Source organism: Homo sapiens, chromosome 1 (assembly GCF_000001405.40).
Source record: "Homo sapiens chromosome 1, GRCh38.p14 Primary Assembly".
In the NCBI taxonomy this organism is placed as follows: Eukaryota; Metazoa; Chordata; class Mammalia; order Primates; family Hominidae; genus Homo; species Homo sapiens.
The window spans coordinates 110508278-110535467 of NC_000001.11; the positions used below are offsets into that span (position 1 = coordinate 110508278).

General features: G+C 48.9%; 1 protein-coding gene and 1 long non-coding RNA gene across 2 annotated transcripts; one reads left to right on the forward strand and one right to left on the reverse strand.

The window, feature by feature from the left end:
- Positions 1 to 8939: 8939 nt before the first annotated feature.
- On the reverse strand, positions 8940 to 10898 carry KCNA10 (potassium voltage-gated channel subfamily A member 10). Its single transcript, NM_005549.2, has one exon. The coding sequence runs from the start codon at positions 10508 to 10510 to the stop codon at positions 8975 to 8977; it is 1536 nt and encodes a 511-aa protein (NP_005540.1). The 5' UTR covers positions 10511 to 10898; the 3' UTR covers positions 8940 to 8974.
- A 6277-nt stretch (positions 10899 to 17175) lies between these two features.
- Positions 17176 to 18550, forward strand: LOC124904292 (uncharacterized). The gene is made up of 2 exons (XR_007066353.1): positions 17176 to 17242; positions 18190 to 18550. It is a non-coding gene; the product is annotated as an uncharacterized LOC124904292 (long non-coding RNA).
- Positions 18551 to 27190: the final 8640 nt, after the last annotated feature.

Below are 27190 nucleotides of genomic sequence, written 5' to 3' on the forward strand. Positions count from 1 at the left end.
CTGGTGAGGGGCCTGCTGAGGTGGGGAGGCCCAGCAGAGTCAGGGTGTGGTGGGGAGGGGCTTCCCCATTGAATGTCCAGAAGAGCTGCCTTGAAGGTTCAGTTGCTCCACTGGAACTGAGACAGAGCCTTCTGAGAGACCTTCAGAGCTGGGGTTTCCCAGAGGAAGGCGTCTTGGGTCTCTTTGCCCTCCGGGAGCCCTGCCCACCAGGAAGAGCAGCCTGCAGGGAGGAAGGCAGGCAGCTTTCTCCTGAGCTGGAGAGGGACAGCCCTGAGGGCTTCTTCCCCTGTCAGAAAACCATCCCCCTCGCTTCTCAGATGGACGTTGGGGAGAAGACGGCAACAGACCAGATCTCAGCAGATCACTAAACAAACCAAAGCTCCTAATACAAAATCAGATTCTCCTCCCACCCCCATATATTCCCTGACCTCCCGGCAGGCTGGCAGGCCTCAGCGCTGGTTTGTCACCCTTAGGAGGGCAATGGTCACAAGCCCAGATGCCTTCTGGAGCTGGCAGGCCAAGTGTCAGGGACACCAGAGGGAGGGCAAAGAGGATGGTGACCTGGAGAGCAGCCTCTGCTATTGTGGTCATCCAGGTTGGCCAAATCTTCTGATTTTCCAACGGAAGTCAGAAATACATTTTACAAAATTTCTGTGATGAAAAATTTCAAGCATACATAAAAGTGGAGAGAATAGTAAAGTGAGCCCCCATAGACCCCACTACCTGGATTCGATGATTATCAAGATTTTGCTGCCCTTGTTTCATCTATCTCTTTAAAAAATAAGATTAAAAAAATGAGAACTCTCCAGGCTTTTAAATGTTGGCTCAAAATTTTGGAAAGCACATGTGAGTTTCATCCTGGGGGCAGCTGCAGGCAATGCTGCTCAGGGGAGCTGGGTTTCTACTGTGGGCCAGGAGCGTATGGGGGCCCTGGGCCAGGCCTCCCCCATGCCCCATCCCAGCTATGCCCCAGGCTTCAGGGCCCATGCCCATAAAGCCTCCAAGGGTCACTGCAGTCACACTTCTCTTGAAAGGGGAATAGGGATGGGAGACTAGGGGTGGGGCAGAGTGAAATCTTACTAGGCATATCGGTGGCTTAATTTTGTCTCTTTAGGGTATAGGGAGGGAGAGCTTAGAGGCGCTATTCTTTAATTCAAAAGATATTTATTGTGCACCTACTATGAGCTATGACGGGTTCTGGGAATATAGAAGCGGACAGACAAAAAATCCCTATCTTTTGGAGTTAACATTTTTATAAGAAATTATAGATAATTAGATACAAAAGTGATTATGTGTATGTGTGTGTGTGTGTGTGTGTGTGTGTGTGTGTGTGTTTATATATTCCTACAGGTTGAGCATCCCAAATCTAAAAATCTGAAATCCAAAATCTTAAAGTTTTTGATTCAGAACATGATGCCTCAAGAATAAAATTTCATACTTGACCCCATGTGACTGGTCACCATAAAAATGCAGGTGCACGACACACAGTGGATTCAGTGTCCTCAAAGCAAAAAAGACCCTTCACCTGCAACACATCTTTTGTGCCCCTTTTCAGATGCACGGATGCCCACAGCGTAATAAAATGGCACGTGCGCAGGCCAGACATGCCAATGGCAGGTTCCCCACAATGCCCCACATGAGGCCAAGATTTACGTGCATTACTCACTGTGTTGTTTTGTTTATTCTCTGCTCTGTGTAAAGATATTGTTGAAAATGTCAAAAAGGCCTGTATGATGCCCTTAGGGTAATGCAAATATTCCAAAATCTGAAACAAACAAACAAACAAACAAAATACCCAAATCAGAAACATTTCTGGTCCCAAGCATTTTGGATAAGGCATACCCAACCCATAAACGTGTGTGTGTGTGTGTGTGTGTGTGTGTGTGTGTGTGTGTGTGTATGTGTATGTGTGTATATATACATACCTGCCGCATGGAGGATGCCTGCCTCCAGGGGCACAAAGGCTGACCAGCAGAGGCAAGCTGAGGACAGTGGAGAGAGGTGACGCTGTGAGCTCTGAAGGTGGAGTTTGGATCTCCAGACTCACTGGACCTAGGATGATGACTGGCTCTGCTGCATTTCTCAGTCATGTGAGCCAATAAGGTCCTCTCTTCTGTTTCAGTTTGAGTTGGATTTCTTTGACCTGCAACCGAATGCGTCCTCCCTAATATATTCTTGCACCAGAGTGTACATCCTCAGTGAGTGCCTGAGGGAGTGTGGGGAGGGAATTCCTGCAAAGCAGAGTGAGGGCTATGCAAGCCCATCAGACCAGCTGCTGGCCAGCCTGTGAGAGCAGCGCAAGGGAACCTTGTGTGTGAGCAGCATTTTGGGCGGCCAAGGCTCCAGGCCACATTGCATTGGCAGGTCTGTGCCCACAAGGTTGCCTCAGAGGTCCTGCTGAGCCTTCCACCTCAAGTGGCTTAACTCCTCTAAGTGGCCTCTGCGTAGTGTGTGCCAGAAAAAGCTTATACAGTGAGGGGTGGCTCAAACCTCAGCCACTCTGCTGTCCCAGAACCTCAGGGAATGATGCTGGCCTGTTTTATGGTATCAGCATCTTTGGTTTGGCTGTGAGTGAAGGTGAATTGAGGGTGACAATATAAAGGTTAGGTTCTTGACCAAGAAGGTGGGGCATAGGACAATTAGGGAACCATCTATGTATAATCATCACCTCAGTTTTGTGCCCCCTCCATTTGGGGTTCCTAGGATGACTTCCCCACTGATATGGTTTGGCTGCGTCCCCACCCAAATCGCATCTTGAATTGTAGCTCCCATAATTCCCACGTGTCATGGGAGAGACCCTGTGGGAGGTAATTGAATCATGGGGGTGGGTTTTTCCCATACTGTTCTCATGATAGTGAATACGTCTCATGAGATCTGATGGTTTTATAAAGGGGAGTTCTCCTGCACACGCTCTCTTGCCTGCTGCCACTAAGATGTGACTTTGCTCCTTATTTGCCTTCCACCATGACTGTGGGGCCTCCCCAGCCATGTGGAATTGTGAGTTCATTAAACCTTTTTCCTTTATAAATTACCCAGTCTCTGGTGTGTCTTTATTGGCAGTGTGAGAACAGATTAATACACCCACAATATGCCACAAAGAAATGTTACCTAACTTTTTGAAGCTTTGGTTTTCTTATCTGCTAATGGAAATAATCCTTACTTTATAGTGGTTGTTAAGATGAAATGAAAAATGTGTAAAGCATTTAGAATGTTGTAATTGTTTATTAAATATGATGTTATCCTCACCACTACTTCTGTCTATGCCCCACATTATTAATTTATTAAATCTTTTTTTTTTTTTTTTTTTTGAGAAGGGGTTTCACTCTGTTGTCTAGGCTGGAGTGCAGTGGCGCAATCTTGGTTCATGGCGACCTCCGCTTCCCAGGCTTAAGCAATCCTCCCACCTCAGCTTCCCGAGTAGCTGGGACTACAGATGCCCGCCACCATGCCTGGCTAATTTTTGTACTTTTTGTAGAGATGGGTTTTCGCCATGTTGCCCAGGCTGCTCTCAAACTTCTGAGCTCAAATGATCTGCCTGCCTTGGCCTTCAGAAGTGCTGGGATTATAGGAGTCAGCCACTGTGACCAGCCTGCCTATGTTTATTAACTCTCTCTCTCTCTCTATCTGTATCTATCTATCTATCTATCTATCTATCTATCTATCTATCTATCTATCTATCTGTTTTTTTTTTTTTTTGAGACGGTGTCTCACTGTCTCCCAGGCTGGACTGCACTGGTGTGATCTCGGCTCACTGCAACTCCGCCTCCCAGGTTCATGCCATTCTCCTGCCTCAGCCTCCTGAGTAGCTGGGACTACAGGTGCCCGCCACCATGCCTGGCTAATTTTTTGTATTTTTAGTAGAGATGGGGTTTCACCGCGTTAGCCAGGATGCTCTCGATCTTCTGACCTCATGATCCGCCCGCCTCGGCCTCCCAAAGTGCTGGGATTATGGGCATGAGCCACCGTGCCCGGCCTATTAATTCTATATTTATACTGTCTTTGAAATCAGCTGCCTTCTGCTTAGGGTCATTCCCTGACTCAGATTGCAAAGGTAAGCCCTATACTTGTTTGGGTAGTGTTAATTGGTCCTCAGGAAAGCTTTTAAAGAATCATAGTTCCTTTCATTTGTGTAGTGCTTTACAGCCCTAAATTGCTTTTAGTAAAACTCCATCACTGAGTCCTCAGCCTGTGAGGCAGATGTAATTTTGTCCATTTTTCAGATTCGGAAGTAAGCTCAAGGAGGTTGAGCACAAGTATAAGAATCAGAGAAATAGGAATTCCAGCAGAGGGTGGGTCCTGAGCAGCCACTCTGGTGGGCTGTGGAGGGCCTGTGATCCCTATTATGCAGGTTGGGTGAGGGAGGACAACCGGTGGGGCCCGGAGCCTGCTCCTTGTTGGGGTGGAGTGGGTGGGGAGAACATTACCATGTTTGCTGCTGGTTAGGTAATTTTAAATCTCTATTTTCTACTTAAGGAAACTGAAGCTCATTGCTGCCCAAGTCATACAACTAATATGAACTTAGCCAGGTCCTTTGACTCCAAGTTTAGAAGGTTTTACCCTTAAGTTTCAAAATGCTTTATGGTTTATAAAACTTTTGAAAAGGGAATGATGAGGCCAGGCGTGGTGGCTCACGCCTGTAATCCCAGCACTTTGGGAGGCTGAGGCAGGTGGATCACGAGGTCAGGAGATGGAGACTATCCTGGCTAACACAGTGAAACCCTGTCTCTACCAAAAATACAAAAAAATTAGCCGAGCGTGGTGGAGGGTGCCTGTAGTCCCAGCTACTCGGGAGGCTGAGGCAGGAGAATGGTGTGAACCCGGGAGGCAGAGCTCGCAGTGAGCCGAGATTGTGCCACTGCACTCCAGCCTGGGAGACAGAGCGAGACTCCGTCTCAAAAAAAAAAAAAGAAAAAAAAAAAAAGAGAGAGAGAGAATGATGAGCATAGCACAACTGTTAATTCTAAATTGCACAGTTCTCTGCAAAGACAGCTGGCATATTATGATGGAAAAGAAAACACAAGCTTTGAAAGCCCTTTGCTAATTGTACCACCCCTTGAAAATGTCTTCTTGTTTCTCTCACGTTATTTGCTTATTTTTACTGTGAAAATTAAAAAGGGCCCTTTTGCTCTATCCAGCATCTTTATTCAGGGGCTATAAAGTGCCTGCCCCACAGTAGGAGCTCAGTAAATCTTAACTCACTGAATGAAGGCCTCAGGCCTTGCTCTGCTCCTCCTAAAGGCAGGGCTGCCCCAGCCTGGCTGCTGACAAGTCCTTTCTCCGCATGGGTCGAGGGTCCTCATGGGTCGAGGGAACATCTTCCTCTCTGTGCTCCACACTGCCCCTCGCAGCCCCGCTCTGCCTTCCCCGCCTCTCTCCTTTTTCTCTGTCAGTGAGTCATCTGGGTGCTCCTCTACAGACAACAGATCTCACTGCAGACAGGAGGCTGGGCAGATGTATGATGGGAGGGGCTCCCATAGCTCTTCTCCTGCTCTGGGTGGCTAAGAAACCGATGACCTAGTGTCGGTGCACAGAGACAGTGACACCTACCCCACTGGGAATGGAGGGCTTGCCTCTGCAGCTGCAGTCACTGGCACCAGCCTGAAGGCAGGGCCTGCTTCCTGGGTATCAGAATCTTATGATTGGGCCTTCTAAGGCTGTGAGGGTAACTAGATTAGCCAAAGAAGAAGTGGCTCCTCTCCGCCCTGCTCTGCCTGTACTCTTCCTGGCAGGGCCTCAGGAAGAGAAAGGCTAGGGCTGCAGGCCCTGGGACTCCATCTTGGCCTCTGGGGTCACTGGCCCAGCCTGTCCTGGGGTCTGATTATTCCACTGTGTTTGCAACATGAGATGGTGTAGGGCCAGCATGTGGCCCTGCTGCTGAACACAGAGTCAGTGGGAAGGAGAAGCCAGAGGCCCCTGGAGAAGCAGCCTCCCTGATCCCAGGAGAGAATCAAGCCTGTCTGCATGACCACAGCTGCAGCTTGCTTGCCCCAGTGGAGACCACTCTGGTTAGGAAGCATGAAGAGACACATTTTGGCATCAAAGAGACCTAGATTCAAATCCCTTCTCTATTGCTTCCTGGCTGTGTGCCCTTGGATCTCTCTAAACCAGTTCCTCACATGGCAAAGTGGGGGTGCTAATATTTACCTCAGAGGGCTGATGTGAGGGGCACAGGGGAGAGGTTTTGGTGTAAAGGATTGTGATGGCATATGCCTGCCAGAGGCTTGTATGTAGGCATGTGGGCTTCTGTGTTAAGGCCGCCCCTCAGGTACTTGAGGTCTTGGGCAAGTAGGTTTTGTAAGGGCATTGTACAGATACACGTTTGCATCACCCTAAATCAAAATGTTATCGTCATTCTGGCACCCAAGTTTGTGTGACTCTGTAAACTGACCAGTGAGGACAATCTGCTCACCAGGCCACCATCCTGGAACCAGAGCCTGGCATAAGGCCTCAGAGGACTCCATAGGTTTGAGGCCTGGAGCTCCATGGGGCATCTGGTCAGCCCTACTCACTTGGGCGAGAGGGGTGGGTGGAGAACTGGAGAGTGCCCTGAAAGGACACTGAAGGGGAAAAATGGGAAGGGAACTTAGAAAATTGTGGGGAAGACTTTCTGAAGTCTGGAACCCTCAGGCTCATGGGCTGGGACAGGAGCCTGCTTACCTAGGTCAAAGGGCAATAATGCCTTGTGTGAAGCCCAGGCTGGATCTTTGCATGACTGGTGCTTAATCAAAGCTTGGGGTTAAAGTGCAAGAAGCGATTTGAGATTATTAGGATGGAAAGGAGATTTAAAGATTACTAAATTCAGCTTTTTAGGAGATAAAGACAAAAGAAAAGAGAAGAGGCTTTCACCCACATCAGCTGGCTTATCATGAAGTGGAAGTTGTGTGGAGGCATCTGAGGTTGCAGCACTGTGTCTTGCAGGATTGTGTGGAGCTGGGTGGCTGTCTGTGTGATGACTAATTTTATGTGTCAACTTGACTGGGCCACAGGGTGCCCAGATATTTGTCAAACATTATTCTGGGTGTGTCTGTGGGGGTGTTTCTGAATGAGATTAACCTTTAAATCAGTAGACTAAGTAAAGCAGGCAGCCCTTCCTAATGTGTGTGGGCCCCATCCAATCAGTTGAAGGCCTGCATAGAACAAAAAGGCTGATTCTCTACCCCAAGCAAGGGGCCATTCCTTCTTACTGACTGCCTTTGAGCTGGGACATTGTTTTCTTCTTGCCTTCTGACTTGAAATGAAACATTGGCTCTTCCTGGGGCTTGAGCCTGCTGGCCTTCCTACCAGAACTGCACCATGGTGCTCCTGAATCTCCAGCTTGCTGACTCACCCTGCGGACATGGGACTTTTCAGCCTTCATAAATGCGTGAGCCGGTTCCCTACAAGAAATCTCTCTCTCTCTGTATATATATGTACACATATAAATATACACACATGCACACACACACACGCACACACACACCCTATTGGCTCTGTTTCTCTGGAGAACCCTGACAGACACAGCCAGGACAGTGTGTTGGGAGTTGTGTGAGGTGGAGCTGTGGCCCAGGGGCATTGTTCTGGTGTTGACACATCTTTGAGTGGCCACATGTTGGGTGCTGGGACTGAGGACAGCACAAGGCCTCCTTATTTGACCGGGTAGATGGGGGAGGGACAGAGTGGAGGCTTCTTTCCCTGTCCTTTGGGGAATCCCAATTCTACTCCCTCATTCTGGGAGTTTGGAGGACTGAGCAGCCTCCTTTCCTAGGAGGGCAGTCCTTAGGCCGGCCTGCTACAACCATCCTCCTTGAGTAAGCCTGGGGCCTGGGCACATGACGTGGAAGCCTGCTCTTCCCTTCCCAGCAGCTCCACAGGCTATTGGCCAATTCCTGATGACTCAATGGGAGCTGAACCTCGAGGCAGGTGGACAAGTGCACTTTCCTGGAGCAGTTCTCTAGGGCCCACAGTTCCCACACTCAGGATCCCCAGTCTTTGTGTAACTCCATGGAGATGAGCCAGGTGAAAACATCGAGGGATGTTTCTGCTTGTCCACTATCCAGAAAAGGGGCTGAGGAGCAAGGGGTCAGGGAGATGCTGCCTTCCCAGGCTGTGAGGAGATCCTGAAGCATCCGGGGAAGGGTGTCTCTGCCCAGAGGTTTGCTGCCTGGACCCTCTGAAAGTCCCCTCAAACTCCTCTCACCTTTCCCCCAATTCTGACACATCTTCTTCATTAGTGGAAAGGGCACTGGGCTAGTAGGTAGGAGATTTGACAGCATTGACTATATCACTGTTTCTGGGTGACCTTAGGTAAGTTGCTCTCCCCTGGTTTGTTCACCTGTAATGTGGGAATAATAATCAAATCAAATAATAATCAAATCTGATTATTCTAAGATGCAGTGAGATAATGTAGGTGAAAGTGTTTTTGGAAAATTTATGCAGTGCTACACAAGTACAAGGTATTATTATTATTGTAATTGAATAACTCTGAGCTCTTCCTCTTTGCTCACAGCAACCCTTGGTCTTTTCATATGCTTCCTCGTAGGAAGACCAAAACCAGTGCTTTTAAATCTTTAATATGCAAACGAATCACTTGGGATCTTGTTAAACTGCAGATTCTGATTCAGTAGGTCAGAGTAGGCCTAGATTCTGCATTTTCATCCTCCCGGGTGATACCAGTATTTCTGGTCTGGGGACCTGAACTATCCCTTCATAGGAAAAGAGATCCAAATCTTTCTATAATGTATTGAAAAGAAACAGTTTAGAAAATACAGTAGAAGTATGGGCTTATTAAAATAGCTTGTAGTCAAAGATAGTTATTGATCACAAAAGATACATTTTGATCTTTGGAAAGATGAAATGAGAGAAGGGAGAGGGAAAGAGGAAGGAATGAAGGGAGGAAGGGAAGGCAGAAGGAAGAGAGAGAGGAGGGGAGAAAGCGAGAGAGAGAGAGAGAGAAGAGAGAAGAGAGACAGGATGGACCCAAGAAGCCCTGGACTGATCATTTCCTAGACTTCTCTGTGGAACAGCCACCATTGGTCTTATTAAGAGAGTCTGTGCTGCCCATTCTTGAGCCTACACTGTTGAGGATTCTTTCAATTTCTCCTGGGATGTTCTGCTTTTCTTCATTCTCAGTCTCCCGGTGGTAGAAGTAATTGAAGTTGGAGACAATGACAGGCACAGGGAGGGCAATGGTGAGGACCCCTGCAATGGCACACAGAGTGCCCACAATCTTCCCCCCTGGGGTGGTCGGGCACATGTCCCCATAGCCTACAGTTGTCATGGTGACCACTGCCCACCAGAAGCCATCAGGAATGCTAGAGAAATGGGACTCTGGCTCATCCACCTCAGCAAAGTAGACTGCACTGGAGAAGAGGATGACTCCAATGAAGAGAAAGAAGATGAGCAACCCCAACTCCCGCATGGACGCCTTCAGTGTTTGCCCGAGGATCTGCAGCCCCTTGGAGTGGCGCGAGAGCTTGAAGATGCGGAAGACCCTCACCAGGCGGATGATCCTCAGGATGGCCAGGGACATGTTCTGTTGGGCACTCGGCTCTGTCTCCTGGACTAGCTCTGTGATGAGAGTTGCAAAGTAGGGGATAATGGAGATGATGTCAATGATGTTCATGATGTTCCTGAAGAAGTCAGTCTTGCTGGGGCAGACCACGAACCGGAGCACCAGCTCGAAGGTGAACCACACGATGCAGGTAGACTCCACCATGAAGAAAGGGTCGGTGAACATGGTCTGGGAGAGGACTGTCTTGCTCATGTTGAGATTGGGGTCTCTGACCACCTTTAGCTCCCTATCCTCCCGGAACTCTGGCAGTGTCTCCAGGCAGAAGATGGTGATGGAGATGACCACAACCAACACCGAGACCACGGCCACAGCACGGGCAGCGCTGGAACTTTCAGGGTACTCAAAGAGGAGCCAGAACTGACGGTGGATGTCATTGGTGGGTAGCAGTGTTTCAGGGTCTTTGATGAAGCCTTCATCCTCCCGGAACTGGTCCATGGCCTCACTACCCAGCTCATAGAAGGAGATTTCATCAGCAAAGATATCAATGGGAACATTGGCTGGGCGCCGAATTTTCCCACCAGATTGGTAATAATATAGGATTCCATCAAAACTGGGCCGGTTCCGATCAAAGAAATACTCATTTCTCATGGAGTCAAAGAACTGCATCCTTTTTTCCCGGTCTCCCAGGAGAGTCTCTGGGAACTGACTAAGGGTTCTGAGCTGGGTCTCAAATCTCAGCCCAGCAATGTTGATGATCACCCGCTGGTTTCCTTCATTTAGGACCACTGGCTCAGGCCCTGGGGGGTCAGCATAGTCTCCCGGAAGCTTGGAGAAGGCCGTCTCATGGTTGGTGCTTTCGCTGATGAGGATCTTCCCGTTGGAGAAGGAGCTGCCCCCAGGCCGGCCTTTTGGGCTGGTTGAGTCGAAGTCTGTGGCATAGCCTGGCTCTTCTTGGATTTCATCTGAATTATCAAAATTGACCAGCGCAACCTCCATTTCTTTCCAGCCACACACATCCATTCTAGGGGAGCCAGGGAAGAAGCATGAAGATCCTCAGCCTTCACTGCCTGCTGTGAGCTATGGAGAAGAAGAAGTTCATTATACAAGATCCAGGGCAGAATACAACTGGCCCTTGTTTATTGAGGTAAGGTACACCAATGGGCTAATCAATGACTTATTTGTAGCTTGGGAAGGAACGTCATGGTTATTTTGGCAGCATGCTTCCCTTAAAATCATTTTGTACCCCTGAGTTTGCATAAACTAATAACTAGGAGAAATTGCAAAAAAAGGATCCTGGCAAAGAAGGGGAGATTCTCCCCAGCAAAGGATGGTCTCCATATGTGATGGCAGAGGGGCCATACTAAAAGAGGAAGTTAACATTCCTTAATAATAAAAAGCATGATCTTGTATTTGCATGAAGCCTTCTGTCTCACCAAACACGTCTCCATGCCCAATCTCATTCGTAATGCCTCTCTTTCACACCAACAGCCAGTCCCTCACACATCCTTTTGGTCATGTCTTCAAAATATATCTAGAATTCAACCATTTTGCATCACTTCCACCCCTGCTTCTGGACCAAGTGGTGAAGGGTGGAACCAGATCTATGAACCCAATGGGGATTCTTTAGGGAAGGAAAAACAAGACGCTGGGTTGGCCAATCGACAATGTCCTCTAAATGACCCCTCACCTGGAAATAACTCCTAGAGTTGTTTTGAAGGTACCTCAAATGAGATAACACGTATGGAATGCTTGGTGGAAAGAAAGATCACTATATTATAGCTATTGTTTTTTGTCAACTTTCCCACATAACAAGCACTTTAGAAACTACCAGCAATTGGAATTTTTTTTGGCCTGAGTCCAAGGTGTCCATAGGAAGTAATTTCATTTTGAGAAATCATTTTAGGTGGGAAGGAAGTAAATAATTGTGTGTGTCTGTGTGTGTGTGTGTATATGTGTGTGTGTGTGTGTGTGTGTGCGCGCGCACGCTGGAGGTGGGGTTAGGAAATCATGCCCAGTGGGCTTGGACATCTATACACATAGACTAATATTTCTTTCCTCAGGTTCATTCTAGCTTCAGTTTCAATTTAAGAACACTGAACCCAGGCAGGCTGGGGGTGGGAGTGGGAGAGAAGTAAGGGACTTAACCTCAGGCAAAATCTGTAGTGGTCACAGCCTTGGAGAGGTTTCCTTTACAGGCGACAAGGCTATCCTGCAGTGTAGTGTTGTAGTCTTTTCAAAGTGATTCCACATTCACTTATCTCACTAGATGACAATAATCACGTGAGGTTAGATGTTATCTCTGTTTTGCAGATGCGGAAACCAAGTCACAGGGACAAAGTGACTTCCTAAGGTCACATAACTAGTGCTACAGAGTCCTGACCTAAACCTGGCCATGGCCTTCTGGCCCAGGGCCTTTCCCACTAGACCATGGAGTCCCTATATAGGAGCTGAGCCTTGTGGGGAGCTGTAGGCTAGGGCCACAGAATTGTCAGGGGTCCAGAGCTCTTTCCATCCCATGACCCCTTTTCTCAGTTCAGGTGCCATGTGTTGAATGATGAGCTCAAGTCTGGTTGGTCAGCACTGGTAGAGTACCCATTCTACCTCTCAGGAGTATGTGGCCATTGCAAACGGCCTAATTTCACGGAGCTGCTGCTTCCTCAGTTGTGGAATGAGGAAGGATGTACCCACTGCCAAGCATGCCAGGTGCCAGCCTGCTCTGCAAGGCTCGGTGAGCAGTAGGATGGCTGGGAGGCAGGATGGAATCTGAGAATAGAATCAGTCCACCCGAGTTCAAATCCTGGCTCTGTACATGGTAAAGCCCTGGAGAAATGTAGCTTCACAGTAATTCGCATGATGATTTGGGGGCCTTGTCCTGAACTGCTTGGCAGCTGGATGGCTGTGGGTGGGGGACTCCAGCTCTGTGTTGATCTCATGTCTTCGGAGCACCATTTTCTCCTTTGGGGTCTTGGACCGCAGATGGTGCTCCCTGATGATTATCTTCCAGGTGTGAATCAGTCCCGCTTTCTGAGAGGAATGAGTACCATCAGTGAGCTTTGGGCAAGGTTTGGGAACCACTTCCATGGTTCTAGCCAAGGCTAGAGTGACCCTTATCAGGAACTTCTCTGGAGGCCAGCAGCAGAAAGCATTTGGGGATTAGGGAGAGCTTCTTTGGCCAAATAATTAACTTCCTTTTTTGGGAGCCAGGCCATTTCCCTTCTCCCTGCCTCCTAGGTTCCTCTTTGTCACTTCCACCCCCAGGTCAAGTGACAGGTAGGAGGGTGTTTGATGAGGGTCTGATGGTGAGGAGGTGGCAGACAGTGCCAAGGTCAAACAGCATATTCCGTGGTCTACAGAAGTGTGCTGTGCAGGCGGCTCCACCTGCCCCATTAGTAGCAAATGTTAATCATTAAAACAAAGAGAAAAGAGAACCGTCTTGAGGACAAGGACCTGGTGTGAGGCTCTGCCCCACCACTTAGGAGTGTATATTTTAAAGCAAATCATTGGATTTTATGACTCAGCTTTCTAATCTATAAAATGGGTAAAAATAATAGTAATTCCCATCTCAAAGATTATACTGAGAACTAAATAAGGTAGTAACAGTGAAAGCACTTTGTAAATTGTAATTGTAAATTGTAAAATGACAAAAATCTCCCTTTACGTTTTCCTCCCCTCTGCTCCACACATAAACCCAATATAACATGCTTGTAGAAAGCATGTTTCACGTAAAGAACTGCAGGAGGAATTCTCAGCTCACTATTCTCCCCTTCTGCTCAGCCCAGTCCTGACTCCATGCCTTCATCCTTGTTTTGCTCTTGCTTCTCATATGCTTTTTACTCCCCCTCCCTTCCTCCATCATCTATTCCTCCCTGCCCATCTGGGAACTATTCAGATCCTACCTTGTCCCAGGAGCCTGCCCTGGCCAGTGTCTGAGAGAGCCCTCTGTCTCCCTGTGCTGCTAGCCTGCTTGTGTAGATGCTCACTTTTGTCCTCAGTTTGGAGCACCAGCTTCCAGGGGATCAGCCTTCACTCTTCAGCTCTCTTGTAAGTTTTCAGGATGCATGACTGTGTTTTGCAGAGCTTTTCCTATCAGCCTGCTTGGTCTTGGAGGACAGGATTCCCCTACAATCCCACCTGCGTCACCCCAGTGTCCAGCTCAAAGTTGCATATAGGAGGGTGGCTGATGAGGGTCAGGGTGGTGTTGGAGGTAGTGGGGCAGTGCCAGTTTCAAACAGTGTATCCTGTGGATGTAGAGTGATTATTTGTTAAGCACCTGCTTGCTAAGTAGGTGAATGGATGAATGAATGAAGAGTTGTAAGCTCATGAAGGCAGGGAACATGTCTGTCTTATGCACCACTTGGCTAGCCCACCTATGTGCGCAATTCATCTCTGGTGAGTGAGTGAATGAATGAGTGATGAATGAATGAGGGGTGGCGGTTGGTGCATGGGCTCAGGGCCAGGACACCTGCATTGCCTCTACAGTTCTGTGATTACTGACTGCTTGCATTACCTCATCCAGACTCCATTTTTTCATCTGTAATAAGAAAATATGCAGAGTCAAAGGAGCTAGATAAAAAGGATACACATATAGAATAATTCTATTTATATGAAATTCTAGAAAATGCAAACTAATCTAGAATGACAGGAAGCAGATCAGCAATTGCCTGGGGATAAGGATGGAGAGGGTGAGGGCAGAGTTACAAAGGGGCTCAAGATTGTAGGGGTGAAGTTTATGCTTCTTATCTTGATTTTGTGATGGCTTCACAAGTCTATACACTAGTCAAAACTTATCAAGTAGCACACTCTAAGTTTAGTGTGCGTCATTGTATTTCAACAAATCTGTAAAAAAAAAAGGCAATCACACAAACAAAAGAAATAAAAGTGCATGGTTTGCCAATGATTCCTCAAGATTTCGGCAAGGACCAAAGGGGATGGTATGATGCTCTGTAAACTGCATGGGTCATGTGGAAAGAGGGGATTACTCTTGCATAGTGCTCACTACGGTGCCCAGCACCATGTCTGCTCATGTTGCAAGAGCTCAGAAAACTGTTTAGAAAGAATGAATGTACCCTGGAGCCCAGGGTCAGTCTTGGTGCCCAGAGACCACCCAGCAGTGCTGTATCCCTGCAGATCAGGCTGTGGGCACTTTACCCTCTCTCAGAGATGTGCACAATGTCAAGGACGCCCCGGGCCATGGCAGGCTGGCTCTCTCAGCTTGGTGCTGGGCATTTTGTCTGTTTAGTGGTGGGAGAGAAGCCTCTATTTGCACTGGAAAATATCTGCTTCTCTGGAAGGGTTTCACTCTTTCAATAGGCTTTTGTACTATAATTAGTATTTCATAAGAGTCAAGATCAGAGTTGTTTCTGCCCCTTGGACTCACAGTCTGGGCTGCCCCCACTCTGTCCCACACTCTGGAAGGAGACGGACGCCTTGGGTGGGGTGAGTCACTTGATGAAGCTGTAACTTCAGAGCTGGGGTTATTTGGGGACTGGCTCCCATTGCAACAGGCAGGGGCCTGGAGTCTGCTCTGCGTGACACCCTTTGAGTCTTAGATCTTTTGATCTGCCCAGTGATCCAGGGCCTTGATGGAATTGCCATTACACCAGGCTGAACTCTCACCCATAGCTGAAATGATCATGACGTTCAAGAGTCTTCCATAACGTCCGATTCTACATGTAATCTCTGTGCTTGCCTGGCACAGTGCTGAGACAGTGCACCTGGCTGAAACAGATCTCTTTTCCTTGCTGAACATACTTGTACTTTCCTCCCTCCAGGCCACCATGTGGGCAGGTCCTGCCACCTGCATACTTCACTTCTAACCTCACCTGAAGGTGAAGCTTTCTCTAAGGACTCCAGGTGAAGGCACTCTTGCCCTTCTGAGCACCCCCTGGAAGTTGTCTACATTTCCTTCTCGGCATTTTATTTGATTCATGTTTTATCTCCTAGAACTTTGTCATCTTTGGGTCCCTCAGCATCTGGCATGTGGGAACAGGCTGGCCCCCTCACTGTCCCGGAGACCCCTATGCTTTCCCATCTTCTGACCTCTGCTCATTGCCCTTCCCTAACAGCCAGACAGGCTTGGGTTTGAATCCCATCTTTTTACCCACTAGGTATGTGACCTTAGGCACATCACCACCTCTGTGAACTCTGCTTTCTTCCCCTCTAACTGGGTCTAATCATACCTTTCTTTTGGATTCTTGGGGGAAAGAATGAGATAGTGTATAGAACTTTGCCTGGCATGCAGTAGGCATCCCATAGATGGGAGCTGATCTTTTTTGGGAAGCTTTCCCTGCCCACGTGACACAGACCTCAGCCATCCCAACTGCCCCTCCTGAGCCCTGTAGCTCTTCATGTTGGCAGCCAGACTGAGGATGAGGCTTTATGGTTCAGGTAACCTCTTCTCTGACTGGACCAGGCACTTCCTGCAGGCAGGGCATGGGGAGGGGCTCAGCCCTGTGCTTCTCCCAGAACAGACCTGCAGACATCTGTGGCTAATGTCAGGGCTGTGGACCTGGCTTTTCAAGGTCACAGAGCTATACCAAGCAGGCAGTATCCAGAACCCATTCCATGGCCTTTCCCCATGGGTCAACTTTGGTTGCCTAGCAACTCCAACACCTCCTACACATTCAGGTGAGGCAGCAGCTGTTCCTTAGTCAGAGAATGGTTGAAATAAGTAATCATGCAAAGACAACAGTGTGTACTGCATCTCAGGGCCCCAAGGCCCCGGTGACAGGGAGCTCAGATGTCGCAGGGCTGGAAGCAGGTAGGAGGATGAGGGGGTGGGCAGGTGGGCCTGGCTCTCCGGTCCTTGAGCAAATGAGTGAAGGACTGAAGGAAGGTGGGGGTGAAACGCAAACCGTGACACCTCTTGTGACTGGACAGAAGAGGGCGCTGCTGTCCTGCTGGAAGCAATCCCTGGGCCATTCCGAGGACCCTTTACTTACCTCTTTGATGCCGCTTTTCTTTCACTTTAGGGTCGGCCAGGCCTCAGGTCTTGCAGATTCTCCCCAGTGAGTGGCTCTCAAACCTCACCCTTTCTGGTCTCTGCCCCTCTTAGAGCCAAGCCCCATCTCTTCGGCTCATGCTGAACCACGGCCCGGCCGGAAGAGTGTGGATTCTGTACCTCTCTGTCTCACGTGGTCGGGATTATGTTGCCTCACTCTCCAAGAACCTCAGTTTCCCCAACCAGGGAATGGTAAGATGGGGTCTTAGGCAAGACTCGCTGGCTCTGCTGCTCACTGTAGCCCCTCTGGTCCCTCGAGTGCCCAGCTCCTCCAGCCTTTCTGAGTGGAAAGCAGAGGTGGCGATGTCAGCCTTAGGGCCATGGAAAGGGTAGAGCTGGAAACTGAGAGCAGCGTCCGTCAGGAGACCTGAATTCAGTGGGGAGGTCAGCAGGCTGGGTGTGGGGGCTGCCCCTCATCCAGCCTGAGGCAGGCTCTCCATCCTGGTCAGGAGCACAGGCTCTGGGGGCAGACAGGAGGGCCAGCTCCCAATCCTGGCTTGGCCACTTAGTGTCTGCGTGACAGAGAACAAGTTACTTATGCTCCCTTCACTTAGGGTTCTTCGTCTTTACAGTAGCCTTGCTAGCACCTCCCTGGAAAGGGTGTGGTGGGAAAGTGATGTCACATAGAAAGCACGCAGCGTGCAGTAGGCACTCAGCAAATGCTGGCAGCTGCTATCAGTTGGGCCCGGTCAGGGACCATGGGGGTGGGGATGGCCATTCCTCCTTTTCCTGTCCTGCCAACGGTAAAATGGGTGAGTTTCACCCTTACTAGTATGGCAGCCAGGCCCTTTCAGAGGCTGTCCATGCTGATGCTGAGCCTGCTGGGACAGGCATGGTCAGTAAGGGGAAGGCCTCGGGGACCGATGTGCCTGGGCCATCAGAGGCTGGGTAGAACTTGTACGGCCCGTGCTCTAAGCCCCTCTGTCTGTGGTGAAGCTGCTTCCTCCTGTCCTGCTGTGAGGGGTGAGGTGGTCACTCGGTTACCTACACTCCTGCTGACCACACAGTTCCACACAGGATGTGAGCCTCACGATGCGCCCTAAGGAAGGTGGCGATTATTACCCCCATTTAGCAAATAAGACAACTGAGGTCCAGAAAGCTGTGTGATTGGCTCACAGTCCTTCAGTCACTACGTTATAAAGCTGTGACTCAAACTCACGTTTCTGTCACAGTCCCACAACAGCAGATCCACTACCACGTGTGGCCTACTGTCATTCAGCCAGGGGCAGTGCCCACACACATACACAGAGACATGGAGACACACATGCAACACAAACATACAGACACACAAATAGCCACAACAGACACACTCAGGCACACACCAGCATGGCTATGTGAGTCTTCTCACACAGTCACGGACATATCCATGCTGCACATACAATTACCAAGATACCTGAAGACAGAGATAGACACGTGCTGGCGTAAATATGCAGGCACGCATGAGAGGGTTCCCATGCACAAATTTGCACTCCCCAGTACCACCCACGTTGCACAGATGTTTCTGTTCCAGGTGTGCCCTGACACCCCCTTCTCCCATCTAGTCTCTCTGCCTCTCAGAACAGGAGAATGTTCTGTTACTTGGAGCAATTGAAAGAAGACAAGGAGGGCTGGAGGGGGCACAGAAAGCTGGTCACGTGACTCTCTTCCTTGTTAGAGTGTCGATGGGCACAGTGTGGGCAGTCTGTCTCTCTCCCTGCAGGGACTGCTCAAGGACAAATCTATCTTCCTAAAGGGATGAAATGATGCAAGCAAGAGTTCTTTCATTTAAAACCCGAGCAGCAGCAGCGATGCTGAAAAGAACAATCACGGAAGAATTCATTCCTGCAGGAATGTAAGAGCTTACAATTTAACTGCTATGAACCATGGAGACTGGAACAGCTGCCTCCCAACACTGGGTGAAATACTTTTGCTCTGGAAGCCAACTGGGAGGCAGGACTCCTGGGTTCTTTTTCCTGGACCTCTTGATTTTGTGCACCATCAAGTCCCCATATTGCCTTCTTGTTTGCTCTGGAGAGAAGGGAGCATCTGCCTCTGATGGTAATAAATGCAGTTTCTGGATACTGGGAGAGACAACAAAGAAGTAATGGGTCTGGAAGCCTGAAGAACTTCCTACAGGTTCTGTCTATACATGGTGGTTGGTAGCTGAGGGGCTGGTTCCATCAGTACCTGCACCTTCAGCAATGCAGCTTCTGCTCAAGTCTATCGTGGGTATTTACCCTTCGGACTTTGGAAAGTGGGAAGCTCATTGCAGTTTTGGGCTGGCCTTCTGCAGAGTTCTGGGTGTCAGCCTTGCTAAGCAGGTCCTTGGGGAGGTGTGGAGCCAGGAGGGACACTGCAGAGAGCTGGGGCTGAGCTGAACACTCTCCATACACTCACCATGCCCTGTCCTCAACTAGGTCCCAGTTTCAGCCTCTCACCCTGTATCCAGCTGCTGCTCCCTGAGGGGGCTTCGACAGAGCCCCACCAAGCTTCCTTCTTGACCAGCTCAGCTCAGCTGTGGGGTATGGGATGGGGAAGGGCAGATTAGCAGTAGTGTGCTGGGGTTTTTGTTCCTGTGAAACCTCTCCTTCCCATCCCCTGAAATATGGGTTTGTTTTTACCCATTCCCAGGAATGTAAGAAGGAATTATTTTAGATGAAACTGTAAGGTAGGGGACATTTCTAATTAACACTCCACTCTTGCCACCTGGCCCTCAGCCACCAGTTTTCATGAAGCCAGTTTATCAGCTGGAGAGCATGGGATGTGGAGTCTGTGGACATGAGTTCAGGTTTGCCTCTGCTTCTTGCCGGCTGTGTAGCTTTAGGGGAGTCACGTTAGCTTGCTAGATCTTAGTTCCTTCATCTTTAAAACAGTCATGGAAACATCTGCCCTGCAGACTATCCCCTGATACTCTGTATGGAAGGTTCTTAAAAACATCTGTGTTGAATGAATAGGTCTGAAGCCCATGTGAGATAACAGATGTCAGAATGCTCATGAAAACACAGGGGATAGATTCACCAGCCCTGAGCCAGGTTTGCCCACTGATGAGGAGCCTTTCTGAACCAAGGTGCTTCTCTGATTTTTCTCAATAACATGCTGCAATTCACCACTGATAAATTTACCTAAACTTGCCTCATCCCTTCCCAACATCCTCCCTTCACCCTCCCAGGAGGCAGTTTATTTAGCACGGTGTTAACAAACATTGACTCTGGAGACAGCAGGGTTTGCAATATCAGCTCTATAACCAGCTAGTCCTGTGGCCCTGTGCAAGACACTTAATCTTTGTGCCTCAGTTTCTTCATCTGTAAAATGAGAATACCTATATCATAGGGCTGTCAAGATAATTAAAGGGGTGAATGTAAAACACAACAGCACCAGACACATGGCGAGCACGATGTAAAAGCTGGTTACAGTGTGTGTAGGAGCCCAGGCCTGGCTGCCCTGGGGAACAGCTGCCTTGCCTGGGCCAGGCTGTGAAAGCATAAGTGGAGCCTTCCTTTGGCGCCCCTGTGATTATCTGAGCTCACAGTGTCTTCTCCTGTCCCCAGGGTGTGCCCTGGTCTGGTTCTCTGCTCAGGTAAAGGCCTCTTTCTCCCAGACCTTCACACCCATCAGTTTCCAAAACCTGTGGGATCTGCCTCCATGAGGTCCCATCTCTGCCCCACCTCTCCCCTTTCTCCGTCCTGTTGCCAGCCATTGTGCAGATGTCACTCCTTGCCTGGATTGCTGCCATGGCCTCCTCAGTTCTTTTTGTCCTCCCTATGTGGCTACCAGAGTGCTCCTCCGCACAGCCAGGGTGGGTTAAGTCACTCCTGCGAAAGGCTTCCAGTGATTCCCTCCACACCCAGCCTGGCACACATCCTGTGTGTGTCTCTGTCTCCCAGGTTGTGGTGGGACCTTGGCCTCATCTGCTGTCTGCAGCCAACTTTAGCATCTGTGGACACATGTAGCATCCACCAGGGAACTGGAGTGGGGAGTGGACTTGGCCCCTACTCCACCTGGCTGTTGCCCACCATACTTTCTTCCTTGCCTTTCTTTCCCTGAACAGCCAGCCCAGGGTGAGGCAAGCAAGCCCTGTGGCTAAGTGTTGACACTGACCAATAAAATGCCAAATGCCAGCCTCTCCTTTATTGTGAGCACCCCAATCTTGAGTTATTTTCTTGGGGTTACCTCCCTTAAGAACTACACTGTAGCTACGTTCCAGGATTAATTAAGCTGCATGAGCTTGAGCATGCTGCTTAACCTCTTTGTGTCTCAATTCCTCATCCATAAAGTGGGGGAAATAATAATGAGTACAGAGAGATTTGGGGGAAAGATTCATATCTTTGTATCACCCCAGTACCTAATATGTTGCCTTGCACATAGAAGAACATCTGAAAATATTTGTCGAATAATTCATTGATTGGTGCACAAAGGCATGAGCTACAGAACAAAGCATCCATGGTGGAATTGCAGGCATTTGCCTGTGGTGGGTGGGGTGGGCAGTGAGGCTGCCTGTGTGCCTGACAAAATACCATGGAGGCCATTCTCTATTCTCCTGGCTAAAGTTCTGCTGTTGGCTTCTAAGCCTGTTCTTCTGTTGGGTCTTACATGGGGCTTTGAGCAGAGGACTGATAGTGGGCCTCCTTAAATCCCAAGAAGGCTCCAGAATTTCTGGAGCAGAAAGGGGCATGGTGCTTGCGGTTGTGGGGGCAGCTCTGCTTTCTTCTTGTGGAAAGACAAAGTCCAGACATAGGTGGGGAACTGAAACTGGTGTTCTTAGAAGGCTCAGGACTAAACTAGGAATGTGGGCTGTAGAATAATGTGTCTCCCTGAGAGTGTGCTGGGAGATGAGCCGATCTGGCTAGCGTTTGCTTATTGCCATGCATGCAATCAAATTTCTGCAGGATGCTCCAGGAACTCCAGGAGAAAGATATTTGGGGCCCTTAGATATGGTGGTTAAGATCCAGGTGCGGAGATTGAAGTGTGGGGCAAAGGAAAAAAAACGTGTCCAAGAACTCACCAGCAGGAGCAATAGAAGGGAAGGTGTGTCTTCTTCAGCCTGAGTGAGCCATGGGTGCTCTGGCTGGGTCAGCTCTCCATGGGGAATCTGCTGTTCTCGAGGTAAAGAGGAGGATTGGCAAGAAGGAGCCTGCCCAGCTGGTGCCTGGGATTCAGAAATCCTATCCTTCTGTGAAACAGGATCTCCCTGGCTGTCTCTGTCTCTGGAGGAAGCTGGAGAGAGGATCCAGTCGTGGTCAGTGGGCAGGATACAGGGTGGCAGGGCTCCAGGGACAACTGGGCAAAGTGAACTCAGGAAAGTACAACCTCCAACGTCAGGGCTTAAGGTGCACAGGTCAGATACTGATGCACTCAGGGTTTGAGTTAGCTACTGACTAAGGGTGTTTCCTAAAGCCAGTGATAACATGCAGGCAGCAGAGGGTGGTGGTGGTGGTGGGCTTGTGTCTCCCAATCATTACCCCTGCTCATAGGAGACCTTGCGTGACTGGCTGATCAAGTCAGGCATCGCTTTCCTGGTCTCCTCAGTGACTGGCCCCTGCCTGGCACTGAAGAGTTTACGATGGGCCTCCGCCCACCTGCTGCGGGAAGGGTCAGGGTAGAGGATAAAAAAGGATGCTTGGTTCAGTCCCATGGGACCTGAGGGCTGGAACCTTGGCCTGACTGAGCTGATATACAGAGCTTTCTCCAACTCTAGCCAGACCCCTTCCGGTTCCCTGGGAGGGCTGCGGCCTGGAGGAGAGACAATGTTGGGAAGGGCTCCCTCCTCAGGGAGAGGACCCCTCCCCACTTACTTCCTTCATAAAACTGTCTAGTCCTGTGTCCCAGATCCTTGGGGGTGGAGAGGAAGGACACTGCCCCGGCTGTCTGACCTTACCATCCTGAGGGGGTGTATTTGGGTGATAGTATGAAGGCGAGGCAGAGAGGTGGGATAAGACTGTATGAGAGCTAGAAGACCTGGCATTGAGTTTATAGCATTTAATTGCTGGTGACCTTGAGCACATCCCTTAATCTCTCTGTGGCAGTACAGCACAATGGTTCAGCACATAGGCTCTGGAGGTGATTGTCTGGGTCCAGATCCAGGCTCAGCTACTAGCTGCATGACCTTGGACAAATTACCTAACCTCTCTGAGGCTCCATTTTCTTATCTATAAAGTGGGAATGAGAATAATAGTACATCCCTCAAAGTGTTGTGTGAGGTTTAACTGAATTAATACATATAAAACACTTAGAACAATGCCTGGCCTGGTGAAATCACTCGGTAAACATAGCTGTCATATTTTTGAGTCAATGACCTCTATATGTTCTCCGTCTACTTTCATAGTCAAGAGACCATTATTAGATAATGGACTTAAAGTGCTTTGTAAACTATAAAGTGCTGAAGAGATTTAGGGACAAATGTTGCTATTAAAAATAGGTAAAACTGTCTTTGGGGAGCACAGGCTGCACCTTCAGGGCCTCCCCATGTGTTAAGAGCTCCCTGCTCCTCACTGGGTAGCCCTGGGGCTCTTCCTCTGGTACTGCTCTATCATCAGACCCCATCCCTTCCCCTTATTTCCTTTGTAAAACTATCCAGTCTGGCGTCCCAGGGCCCTGCAGCTGCTGGGTGAGGATCAGCTGATCCCATGGAAATTGTGGGTTTTTTCTCGGGAACCTGGAGATGCACAGTGCCTTTTCTGCAGAAGGGGCTCTAATGGCAGGTGTTTTGGGCCATGTTGGGATGAGAAACATTTTGCTGTTCCTCATGAAGGAAACTTTTGCTGTTCCCAGCCCATTTTCCTATGCACAGGGCAGCCTCTGTCTTAGAGAAGGGGTAGTACCCCAGAAAGCCTGGTGACCACCCCACTAATTCCTTGAGTTGAGGTCTAAATTCTGGCTCAGGAATTGTTTGTGGCCCACCATGATTGCTCAGATCCCATCACAGCACAGCTCCCCAGGCCAGGCAATAGGGTGGCACAAAGGCCTTTCCTATCAATAGCTGATGAGTCCATTAGTAAATGGTGCACTGTCTTCCCGTGAGCAATGCCCTCCCTGCTCCCTTGGTCTTTCTCTTTTTTTTTTTTTTTTTCCCCTCTTGTGACTCCTGTTTGCTGTTGCTTCCCCCTCAGGGTTACTTGGTTGGTCATGTCCTATGAGGGGTGGATAAGAGACTAGATCCCAGGGGCAAGGGAGCCAGAACGCCTGGCACACTGCCACTGCCCAGAGGCAGGAGGCTGTGCCCAGGGACTGTGCCTGTCTTCCTTGCCCCAGGGAGGCCCTTCTTAGCAGGGACATGTATGTGCCAGGGGAGAGAGAGTTCTGGCACTGATCTAGGTTACCTCTTTGCTTGGGACCTATATTGGGGTTCTCTGAGGAGTGAGCATCTGAAGGGGCTGCCAGCAGGAGAAGAAGGGAGGAAGAAGCAGTGGGTTGAGGTGCACTCTGCTCACAGTTCCGCTTAGGTAGTTAACATGGATCCGTTTAATCATCCTAAAGCTGTGAGTGCTCTTCAGACATCTCAGTGGATGTGATCAAGCCAGGAGGAAAGGTTTCTCCTGGGCCAAATGAGTCAAATAGGACAATATCGATTTATTTACTAGGTTCAGCAACATTTGTTGTGCCCCTGTGTGCCTGGCACTGTGCTGGGTGCTGGGATACAGAGTGGAACCCATTGGCATAACTGAGGCTGTGCCCTGGACATAACTTTGCAATTGTTACTCCGACCTGATTTGTAGGAATAGCTTTACTTAGATAAAATTGACATACAATAAACTGTACATATTAAAAGTGTACAATTTGATAAGTTTTGACATAAGTATATACCCATGAAGCCACCACACCAATCAAGACAGTGGACATCCCTATCACCCTGAAAAGCTTTCTCAAGTCCCTTTATAATACCTGTCACTTCTCCCTCATTCCAATTCTCAGTTCACTACAGATCTGCTTTCTACAGATTGGATAAAATTTTCTAGGATTTTATATGAGTGGAATCATACAGCATGTATTCTTTTTTTGTCTGGTACCTTTCATTCAGAAGAAATATTTTATGATTCATTAATGTTGTTGAATGTATCAATAGTTCATTCCTTTTTATTGTTGTGTAGTATTCCACTGAATGGATATAACACAAGTTGTTTATCTTTTCATTTGCTGCTGGACTTTTGGGTTGGTTGCAGTTTTTGGAAAGCTGCCGTGAACATTCATGCCTTAGTCTTTGTGTGGGGTTATGCTTTCATTTCCTTTGAGCAAATATGTAGGAGTGGAATGACTCCTACCAGTTTGATAGAGTTAAATGTCCAGCATCTGCAAAGAATCTTGGATTGGCCCAATCTTCCAGAATCCCACCAGGATGCTCTTGGGTTCTTGGGAAGTTTTTTGTTTTGTTTTGTTGAGGAGAAAACAGGTGGACATGCACAGGAACCCTAGAGACAAACAGAAATTGGTGGGGGTGCTTTGTAAATAACCACAGCTAAAAATTGTTTTCCTTTGAGCCAGTGGTATATCGTCCTTTACAAGATAACTGTCAAGGTTTATCAGCTAGTCATTACCTTTGACCTCCAGGCTGCCATCCTGGAGCATAGCTGTGGCCAGAGAAAAGGCCTTGTCCAGCTTCCTGGCATCTAAGGGGTTTGTTTGGGCCTGGGAGAGATGTGAACACCTGGCTCACACCTGGCTCCAGATGCCAGGGCAGCTGAGCTGCCGCTGGTGGGCACTGTAGTGTCAGTTCCAGCTGTGAATAAACACAGAGAGCAAACAGTCCTCACCACTCTAACCCAGGCTCCTGACAGACTTTGTACATCATTCCATTTGGTGCCTGGGTACCCTTCCTTTCTCCCAGCTCTGAGTCCTGGTACAGGAGTGGCTCACCTGGGTAGTGGCTCAGGGTACCTCCTTTTCATCCGGGTAGCTGGGCTCAACCTGGCTGGGGCTCAGCTGCTCTTATCTTGGAGGCTCTGAGAAGTAGCTCCAGAGACCTAAATCCAAGAGAAATGAGGAGTAGGGGCCCTAGGATTCTCAGCACCTCCAGTGACTTATTAATTGGTTAATTTTCCGATTAATCAACAACCAGTTTTTGGGCAAAGAAACTGCTGGGTGCTTGGGTTATAGGGGGAACAAATGCAGATGCCTTTGAGGTGCTTATGGTCCAGAAGGCAGCCCAACAAGAAGGCAATGAACGGCACACTCACCATGAGGAGATCAGACAAGCTCCAGGGACCGCAGGGTAGGGGGACCTAACTGCATCCTGCTGTGTGCAGGAAGATGGCTAGGATGCTCTCAGAGAGGTCTGTGCTCCCTGACCAAAGACGGCAGGCACTGGTGGGGATCGCAGCTTAATAACACAGTGCCATAAGGCAGGGTGAGAAGGCTTTCTATGGTTAGAAAAAACCCCACTTTTCTCCTTTCTTTTCCTCTTCCTGACGTTGCTTCTCTACTCTTATTGTCACAGGAACCTGCCATCCTTGTCAGAAGAGTCAATTGAGAAGAAAATGCAAATGCATTTGAGCTGTGTGTGCTAAAGCCATGACAGGGAAAAGGTGCAGGAAACAGAGCCCAAAATTGGTTACCAAAATTCACTGAATAACAATATTCATAGCAGCTAACATTTTTTGAGCATGTAAAATGTGCCAGGTACAGAGCCTAGTGCTTTACTTATGTGACTTCATTTAAACTCCCCAACAATAGGAGCGGGTATTATGATGATCTCAATTTTACAGATGGGGAAACTGAGTCACCAGGGAGGGAGGTTTGCTCAAGGTCAGGGAGCTCCTGAGATGGCAGTGCCAAAATGTGAATCTAAACTGTGTTAAAAGGTGTGTACCATGGGCAGGGCAGCAGTGAGTATAGTGGGTGGGGGGCTAACCCTGCCTAAGGGTCGGTGAGAGCTTCCCCAGGATGTGGCATTTGAGCTGAAGGAAAAGTACTCCAGGCTAAGGAAAAAGGTGCAGGTGATAAAGGCATTCAAGGAGAGGAAGATTTTTTTTTCAAAGTCAGGGTTCCAGGCTTAAGAGAGGAGGATTTTTGAGTGCAATGGCAGGCCAGAGGAGCGAGTCTCTTATGACTGGAGTGTGAGGTTCTCAGCAAGAGAGGCCTCTAGGTTAGGTAGCATCCATACAGGCCACAACCGGGTGAAAACTGATAGTGTGGTCTGTTCACTGACTGGGGTGCCCGCTGCTAGCTTCCTCACCTGGCTAAGCCTGAGGCTGGATGACCAAGGATGAAAAAGGAGCTGAGGTTTGAGACCCAGGGCATTTACAATCCAAGGCAGGGGGAGTTCTTATCATCATCATCATCATCACCACCATCATCATTATTATTCTTTATTCCAAGGAAATTTTGCATGAAAATCTGAAATAAAACTAACAAAAGAGAAGCTGCTCTGCTTGAATTAGGGGTGGGGCAGGGCCCTGAACCCCGACTGCTAGGTCCCTTTATTCCCTGCTCCTTCGACCTCCCTAGCTCTCCACAGCAGTCTGGTCCTTAGTGGCTATAGTTGTTAATGTTTCCAATGCTGCCTAGTAGAGGTCCAGTTGCTCTGACCCCACTGGATATATCTTCTGGCCCCCTTCTCTCCAGCATGCAGGCCAAGTGACACAGCCCAATTTGGTCCCTGCTCAAGAAACTGATCTCCTTGCTCTCTACTCTGACCTCTGGGTCTTTTACCAACATCAGCTCTGGAGCAGGGCCAAAGGCCCAGGGCCTCTACCTGACCAATTGGACACTAAGCCATGAAAAACGAACTC